Source organism: Homo sapiens, chromosome 10 (genome assembly GCF_000001405.40).
Source record: "Homo sapiens chromosome 10, GRCh38.p14 Primary Assembly".
NCBI classification, from domain to species: Eukaryota; Metazoa; Chordata; class Mammalia; order Primates; family Hominidae; genus Homo; species Homo sapiens.
In genome coordinates, this window is record NC_000010.11 from 64,686,190 (window position 1) to 64,695,970 (window position 9,781).

Consider the following 9,781-nt stretch of genomic DNA (forward strand, 5'->3'; position numbering starts at 1 on the left):
TGCAGCATTTTGAGTCTGCTTTCTTTTATTAAACATAATTTTTTGAGGTCAATCTATGTTATTGTCTATATCAGTACTTCATTACTTTTTCTTTAAGTTTAGTGTTTCAGTGTATGGTTTCCAGTTTATTTATTCATTCCCAAAATGAGGAACATCTGGGTTGTTTTCAGTCTTTTGTGATTATGAGGAAGGCCACTATAAATATCTGTGTGCAGGTTTGTGTGCGAACTATGCTTTCATTTCACTGGAGTAAATATCCAAGACTGAGAGTGATGTGGCTTTGGGTAGGTAAATTCCGAACTGTTTTCTAAAGTTGCCATGCAATTTTTAAAAAATTTTCACCAACACTTCATGAGAGTTGCAATTGCTCTGCATTCTCACCAGCTCTCAGTATTATGTTTTCTCATTTTATTATCTTTTAATATAAATTTTTCAGAGACGATGTCTCACTATGTTGCCTAGGCTGGTCTTAAACTCTTGGGCTCAAGTGATCCTCCTACCTCAGTCTCCGAAGGTGCTAGGATTACAGACACGCAACACCACACAGCCTCATTCTTAGCATAAACAATTCTAATAGTGATATTTTACTGATTTTTAAGTTGTATTTTCCCAATGACTAATGATATTGATCACGTATTTGAAATTTAAAACCTGAATAAAAATATTTTGAGCATGTCATTGATTTTCATTTTAGATATTTATTCATTTTCTGCACTTTTTCTTCTATTTCTGCTCATTCAGGAAGGCAAATGTTGTGCTTTATTTCCTCAGAGAAAGTGTTTGATTGGACTGTAAGCAGAAGGCACTTTAGAAACTTACCGGCTTGTTTTCCCCAAACCAAAGCCTTTTGAGACGATATGGTTTGTCTGTGTCCCCCCGCAAATCTCATCTTGAATCGTAGTTCCCATAATCCTCATGTGTTGTGGGAGGGACCAGGTGGAGATAATTGAATCACGGGGCGGTTTCCCCCATACTGTTCTTGTGATAGTGAGTGAGTTCTCACAAGATCTGATGGTTTTATAAGGGCCCTCCCCCTTCACTCGTTTCTCATTCTGTCTCCTGCTGCCCTGTGAAGAGATGCCTTCTGCCATGATTGTAAGTTTCCTGATGCCTCCCCAGCCATATGGAGCTGTGAGTCAATCAAACCTCTTTTCTTTATAAATTACCCAGTCTTGGGTATTTCTTCATAGCAGCATGAGAATGGACTAAAACAGACGTATGGAGTTTGACAAAGAAAAGTATTTCTTCTACATGGGTGGATTCCCCCAGAATAGGTAGAAGAAAGTTTTCTGGTTTCCTGAATAATGAAAACTTGATTACTTTTCCTGAAAACATCCAAAGATGCTTGACTGAGAGAGAGCTGCTTCCATCATGTATTTAGAAAGGTGGGTCTAAAAGTGCTAGGGTTCTTAACCTTGTAAAAGATTCCAGTTTCCCTGGTGTGGCAAGGCAGCTTTGGAGCTGCTAGACCTGAAGGCACAATTTTAATGTGAAGCAGTATTTCTTAGCTGTGACCCGATGACATGTGTGTGCATAGATTAATAAGAAAAAGCAGGTCCCTTCTCAAATACTTGATACTCTTTGAGATTCCAGAACCTTGACAAGACCCAGTGAGTCTAAGGAGTGACTGTGCTTCACGTAAGAATCTGGTTGATTTTCCATTAATATGGAGGTAAAAAGCTAAGCTTGTTTATAAAAAATAAAGCAATCTCATATTTTCCTCTCATGAGTTTCTCTATTGCAATTCATAAAGCCAAAAAGTGTGCCAGTAACTACATTATTTTTATTTTAGCCAGTGGTCTCATTTTTTCTTCCTCAAAGAGAAATTTGATGAGGATAATCACATTTTGTCTTCTTTGGAAAAATGGCAAATGCAGCTGCAACAACATGACCCAGTCAAGCACGGATTTTTTAGAAATTGTACTTAGCATTGGTTTATTTAGCATAGTCTTAAGTAAATCTCTGTGTGTCAGATTTGAAATTGTCAGAAATGTTCACAAGAGAAAGTGAAGGCCAGAGTTTTAAAGTGGTAACTTCTGTTGTTTATTATACATTTCAAAACCAGTTGTTAATTATCAAATATGAATGTTTTAGATAAGTATTGTTTATTGAAGAATGCACTTTTTGAAAATCATATAACTGTTATGACAGTGTAAATGTTTATTTCACTCTGATGAAATCAGAAATCATGCTTTCTTTTTTAAATAAAGATGTCTAAAATATTCTATTTATGCCAAGCAATTATCTTTAGTTAAGTATTTAATCCATATTTGAATAATAAAATTTTTATTGAAATATACACAAAATTTTGAAGAACACTTTGCATCCTAACCTTTCATATTACCTTACTGTTTAATAAACTATTATTTTTAAATGAAAACTTTAGAAAATAAAGAATAATATATTTGATAAGTATAGAAAATATTCCTATATATAAATTGGATTTTACTAATAATTTATTACTCACCCATTCTAATTTTTACATCAATGTAACCTTTGATGTGATGATAGATATGTGTACAATATTTTCACACATGATATTGTTTTTCTTTCTTGTACATTAACATACATAATTAAAGTTTTTACTATAAATGGCAAGTTGAGTGGTCAAAGTTGATCTCTATTTGACATAAATTTTACTTAGGCACAATAAACACTAAAATGAAAGACAGTATATGAATTTGAATAGTTTTTCATTTCAGTAGTAAATACTTTATTGGAGCTTTCAACTGCTAGTTTATAGGCAGTTATCAGACCTGCCACGTAAGAACAATGTGAAGAACTTGTTAAAATAAAAGATGTTTGCTCCCTATATGTAGTGGTTGTGATTCAGTAGGTCTGGTGTTAAATCTAGGAATCCATATTTTAATAACTCTTCAGAGTTTTCAAACTCTTCAAATGGTGTTGATAAATGGCCTGTGTTTACTTTTTACCCTGTACTTGTAAGGAACACTTTAACCCAATCAGTTTTCCAAAGTTGGTAGTAAATGGTATCTACTTTGGGGAAAAACCTGAACAAAATAAACTATACTTTTTGACAGGAAAAATAGGATCAACTTCCTCCTTTTTACTTTTTATGAAAGATCAAGCTTCCGTTTAGCTACTTGCTGGAAATTAGTTTCCTGAAAAGTTCTCTTCATTGCTTCTGAGAGTTTCACAGGTTTTGTTGCATGTGTCCTACTGAACAAGTCATTTGGTGTTTCTTTTCAGGCTCTCCTTTCCTAACCATGTCATAGTGATTGCTTCAGAAGGGTCACTGACTGACATTGATGTCTCATGGTGACCCTATGCAGGAGTCTCTGCCTTTATGGTTTTATATTAGTGCTTGTGGTTCACACAGCTCTCTAGAAGACCCTACACTGCTGTACTAGTCTCTGGCTGCCCCTATATCGCACCACTTCTGTGTGCCTATAGCTGCCTTCTCTTCACTGTGAATCAGTAGAAGCTTGGAGAAGTTGCTCACCTACCCCTACATCTCTCCAGATGGCCAAGAGCAGAAATCCTACTCACATCAGAATTGCTGCAGGTCTCTCTCAGAGATCACTCAAAAGCATACCGGAGTGATCTTCTTCTGAAGAACATTAATCTTTAAGATATGAATTCCTTTAGACAAAGCCCTGGAATTTGACCTTGTATATATCCCAAGTCTTAGTTAATCAGTCATGGTGATTATCCAATAATCCAGTAATAAGGTGAAAAATACGCTAAATAGTATAACAATATTTTAGTGCAAATGATTTTAATATAGGAAAATGAATAAAGACTCTCAAGGAGAGAGATTTCAGATATATACAAATGTATATATTAAAAACCAGAAAGAAATTATTAAAATAGTGTGAATGAATGCATTAGCTGAGAAATTGCCATCACAAATGATAAAGACAAATCCCTCTTAAAGACAATGGAAGAAGCCTGGTTTGTGATTTAAAACACATGGATGTCAGAAGACAAACAGGACTGTCTAAAATACTCATGAATATAATTTTCTTTATGGACTTGCTTCTGCTGGAGAATGTGGGTAGGGCAGTTGTCACAGATGCCAGATGTCAGCCTTTTGCTGTTGGCCCCATTTGCATTGACACCTACGGTTACATGGTACAGGAGCAGCTATCATTTGTAATGCATAATACTTCTTGTCTGCATAGGCTGTCTTGAAGTCGCAGGAAGCCCTGTGTAGTTCCCCCTAAGTCAAGTTTTATTCCTTCCATACAATGTATGTATTCACTCTTAACAGAAGTTCCCACCAAAGAATACATTAAAATGGCTGTGGCCAGCTGGTGAATAATTAGTTTCAGAGTATTACACTTGGTTGGTTGACTCCCTTTGTCTTTCTCGTTATGTTTTGACTTTTGTTAGAAAAGCTAAAGATAATGAGATCCACAGAAGTTGCACCACCTGTCATCTTTAGGCTAAGCCTTACTGACAGAAGAGCTGAATATTAAAACATTGAGAAAAAATGTTAGTGGGAAGAAAATTGGAAGATTTTGTGGTGATGATAAATTATATACAGTGCCTTCCTATACCCAAATGATTTAGTCTATGAGCCAGAGTTCCATTTCAGCATATCTATTGGAAAGATGATAGTGTAAATATGGGGTCAGTCTCAATTGTGTGAAGAATTGGAAAGAAAATAACAGATGGGTAGTTATTTTAAGTGAAGTAGAACTAAAAGTAATACAAAATCCTTCTAAAGGCCAGAAATAAACCTTTAAATGCTGCTCTTATTTTTATGTTAGCAAGTAGCCCCAATTTACCTTCTATTTGGTGCTTTTATAATATTTAAACAGTACAACAATTATTCTTCTTAATCTTTTAGAAAACGATTGAGCAATTATTTAATTTACCACAGCTTTGTAAACATTTTTAAAAAGATACAAACAAATTACAGAATGAGTAAAGAGCTCACAATAATATGTTTCAGGAAAGTTAAAAACATGATATCTTGGAGGGAAAAATTCAAGGACAAAAATCATTGATGTTCTTATATTATTTCACATATGCATGTTGCAGAAGTCATAGAGACCCTTTAAATAATATTCTTGGATTATTTGTTTGCCTCCAGCCATCTTCAATTGTCAACCTTTTCCTCAAACAGTAGTGCATTGAAAACTTTTATTTTTAAAGAAAATTTGAAAGTGTTAACTGATTAAACTAATTTTCTACTTGAGGATAATCCATGAAGCTAAAATAATACTGCTTTGATTGATTGCAAAAGAAAAATAAGACAATTGAATATTTTGTCTTTTTTCTAGATCAAACATCAAACTGCCAAAGACAGAAAATTATTTACTGATGTACATTATTTGACAAACTATTCAAAGGTACCTTTGATAGTATTTATTTCTTTAATCTACTTTTTTATGTTCAAACAAATGTGTGCTTATGAATCTTAATGTTCCACATTCACTTATGTTTAAAAAAAGCTTATGATTAAAAGGTAATAGGGCATAGTCATCAGAATCCTGGGCTTTGGGTTGGACCTCAGATCTAATTTTGTCATACCACTCACTAACATGAGTTTCAGAGTAACTCATATAATCTTTCCAAACCTATTTTTCTTATCTATAAAATGGCAGTGTTCTGAGATTTGCATTGGATATCAAAGTTAAAGCACATAACTTTACAAATATTTGCAAATGTTATTAAACATATACAGAAAATACTAATATGTGTAAATAGTAAGCATTAGATTAGTTAGATATTAGAATAGTGTTTACTATTTTTATTCAATAATTATATGTTTCATGATGAAAGAAACACATCATCTGTCTGGACAAAAAATACTTTGATGGGCAGAAATGACATTTGAAATAGTTCTTTAAAAGTGTCTGAGCCTGGGCTGCTACAGAAAATACTATGGACTAGGTGACTTAAACAATAAACATTTATTTTTCACAGTCCAGGGTTTGGGAAGTCTGAAATCAGGGTGCCAGCATGATTAGGTTCTTGGCAAAAACTCTATTTCTGGTTTACCCATCAAACTGGGTCATTTTTGACTGTGAAAGAGTGAGCTATTAAAATTTATATCAGAATTGTTTAGGACAGACAATATGCTCTCATCAGTTAGAATGCAATGTTTTGATACAAACTGCTAACTATATGGTTGTCTAAAATAGATATCTTTATCTTGGATAACTCTTCCAAGATAAAGTCATGTTTTTTCCAGAGTTTATAGGATATTTGTCCTAGGAGTCTGACAGATATGTATAGATTTGTAAAACCAAACCTAAAACTCTTTATTTACTTCACTTCTACTCCCACACTAGGATAAACTAGCTCTTCTTCTTTTATTTTCGATTTCAGGAATGACCCCACTATTTATGCAGTTTTAAGCAGAGAAGGAGAGTCTCCAGGAACTATACGAATTAATCAACTTGAGCAATCAGCCTGTTTTACAGCCTCCTGCCTTGGAGACTACTTTTTCCAAAACTCTATGTGGGATGTGGTCACCTAGTTGGTTGGAACCAGCTCCTGACAGACCCCAGCAACTGACAGATGAACCTGAGTGAACTTTCCTCATTATCATGCTAAAGTCTCCATCCCGAAAGGAACTATAGCTTCATTACCAGAACATGCAACCTTTGTGCTGGCATAAAGGCTCACTGCGTCTAAAGCAACTGGGACCCGTCCCGTACATGTGATGATGCACACTCTCCTCTCTCCATAGCGCCATAAACTCTCTCAGGGAGACACTGCTTTGAGGAATGCTTCCTTACTTGTGCTAAGTAATAAAACTCCTATTGATTAAAATTTACATTCTTGTGGATTCGTTTGTTACTGGACAAGTGAGTGAATTCATTTTTTTTCAGGTTAGTCATCAAAATAAACTTTGTGGATATGATTGTACATTACTTATTCTTTTATTCTCATACCTCCATTTATATTCATGTTCTGTTAATTCTACATTCCTAAAGAATTAAACTTTCTCTTCCAAAAGATCTATTATGGCCTTTATACAATGTCTTTATAATTTTCTATGAGAACTATTGAAGTAGCTGCCTAATTAATATCTCCGTCTTAGGTTTGTAACCTTTTTGTTCATTTTCTAGTCTTCTATCAAAGTAATCTTTCTCAAATATAAATCTGGTCATATTTGTTCCATGCTTACATCTCTTTGATTACTTCCCATTATCTACTAAAAAATGTTCAAATGTCTGGCTCGAGAAACATGATCTTCTTGATGATTTTGCTGGCTTTTTCATCTTCATTTTCTACTTGTGACCCCTTGAATCCAACAAACCAGTTATAATAAAGCATGCTTTTCTTCATCATTTGCTACCTTTTCATGGAATATCTTATCCTTTGCCCTCCATTTCCCTTATATCTTCTCTTTGTAGATCAAGTTCAAGCAATATGTTCTCTGTGAAGTTTTTCCTGACTAGTCCTAATGCAACTACCTCTCAAAGTTATGTTAATAGCAGACCTTCCCTTTACATAACTCCATGCTATACAGACCTCTCTTATATTACCTACAGTATATTTCCATGTTTTTTTATCTTGCTAGCCTGTAAGACCTCTAAGGCTATTACTCATTTTTGTAATATCAAAAGTACAAGTTATATATGGTATGTAATGAGTGATTAAAACATTTGTTGAACGATTTTACATGTGTGTCTAAAATGCAGCGTTGGTTCCTGGACATTTCGAATACTCAATTGAACATTTTCTAGCTTATAGGCATAATTTAGTAAGTATAAGGCTATATAATTCAATGTATTAGTAAACTAGTCATCATTGTGAGCAATCATATATTTGTTCATCAAATACTTACTAAGCATCTACTATTGTATTTTGCAGGTACCACATTATATTTGCATAATTTATATTTAAAAAGTGCATAGTCTTCACTCTTAGAAAGTATGGGATATGACTAACTTAATGATTCTATTTTCATGCCATATGTGATAAAATGAAGCATAGGGTGTTGTATGTGTATATAAGTAGAACATCCAAATTAAACTGGGTGAATCTTGAGTTAAATGTTGAAGGAGTTAGATAGATGAAGAAGGGGAGATAAAACTACAATACCTTATGAATGTGTTTGGAGAAAGTATATTCCATACCTTTTAAGCCTATATACCAAATATACCGATATGCATTTTAAGTGAAAACAAGAACAATTCCATTTTACAACATTTTTAATTCATGATCTTATGAGACTTAGTAGAGTTTCATGTAAGCCAATGAAGCCCAATGTACAATCCATGTAAAAATGATATCCATTCTGCTTAAGGAACTACTAGCCAGAAGTAAATCACTTTTCAGTATAGTCTGCTTTGGATAGTTAACAGGTGAAAGTATGGATTCTCCTCAGAATTGATTAACTGATTACTATTTTCAGGAAGAAGAAGCAATAAAAGTAGTACATAAAAGATAAATATGCCTGTCAGAAAAACAAAAAGAAACCAAGTCAAGGTGTTATCTTTAGCCTCTCCCTAATCAGAAAATGACAGGACATGCAAAAAGGTCTGTCTCCCTTTATTGGGTATTGTATTTTTCCACATATTGAGAGTAATCTGAGCTACTCAGCGATGAAACAGGGTTTTATGTCTGGGATAGGATGCTTTTTATAAAAACTGGTCCAAAATCTAATCTGTTACCTTATTCCCAGAATTTTATAGCTGGTTGAGATTTTAACAGTCTTGTCATTTCTCAATGTAATTTCCCAAACATGCCTAGTCATAAAAAATTATCTGGGTTACTCATTAAAGTTACCATTACAAGATGTCTTCTCTGGAGTTTAAGTAATCAGATTTGGGGTGGTGCCCAGAAGTTTATATTTTTAAAATAACCTAGGTAAGTGTTTCCCAAATTGATGAAATTATCTTGGAATCTTGTTAGTTATGCAAATACTCAGGAACCATGAGACTCATTAGATCAGAACCTGCAGGGAAGGGCCTGTAAAATTGTATGTTTAACAAGCTTCCTAGATGTATCTAATCATCAGGGAAGCTTGGGCAACACTGATTAGTTTAATCACCTTATTTTATAAGCTGAGTAAATTGACAAGTTTAGGGTAACACAGTGAGGAAGCTGGAAAAAATGACATTTTTTTAATGAGGTAGATATTTTGATTTTCATGATTTTTTGTGGGAAAGAAAGAAAAACTTAAGCATTCAAGGCTTGCCAGAATAAAGAAACTAGAAAATAATAGACTGAGAAATTGTCCCCATCTTTTCTGATCTTCTATGACTTATTCTTTCATAATATAGCTTCCCATGACTTTACAGGCATATGTTACAAAAATTTTGTTACTGTTGATGCAATGTTAAGGTAGTATTGAATTACTATTAAAGCAGTATTGAATTACTATTAAAGCAACATTAATGCAATACTGAATTATTATAATACTCTCACTACCAACCAATGATAAGATTCTTGAGTGGGAGATAAAGGAGGTAGAATCAGAACTAGCAGGCTGGAAATTGTGCATAGGAATCCTGTTAGCATGTGTTGGAAAGGTAGAAGGAAAATAGATTCTCTCGTGTTTTGACCTCTGCCTATAAAGTGCATTTCTTTCTACATTTTGCACCATTTTCCACTCTTCATTCAACACTTACTAATTCATTTTCTAGTTAGGAGATGTGGCCAATGTAGTTGTTCAGAGTTGGAGACATTCTTTGAGCCACTTTTCATGATTGTATTTCTGTAAGGAATGAGCTGCAAATGTGGGGCTTGATATCTCTTCCAGCTCTCTTGGCCTGTTGCTAATTGGTAAATTAGACCTGATATTCTGCCCCAGAAACACAGACTTTTTAGTCTAAAAGGAAGGATCAGGATA

General features: G+C 34.0%; 1 long non-coding RNA gene across 6 annotated transcripts in view; it reads left to right on the forward strand.

Moving 5' to 3' along the window:
• Window positions 1–6,750, forward strand: part of LOC124902439 (uncharacterized) — an 820,351-nt gene extending 813,601 nt beyond the window's left edge. For all 6 annotated transcript variants that reach the window (XR_007062161.1, XR_007062160.1, XR_007062166.1 and 3 more), the window contains 2 exons: window positions 5,253–5,321; window positions 6,304–6,750. This is a non-coding gene — a long non-coding RNA (uncharacterized LOC124902439). The remainder of the gene's footprint in view (window positions 1–5,252; window positions 5,322–6,303) is intronic.
• The last annotated feature ends 3,031 nt before the right edge of the window (window positions 6,751–9,781 follow it).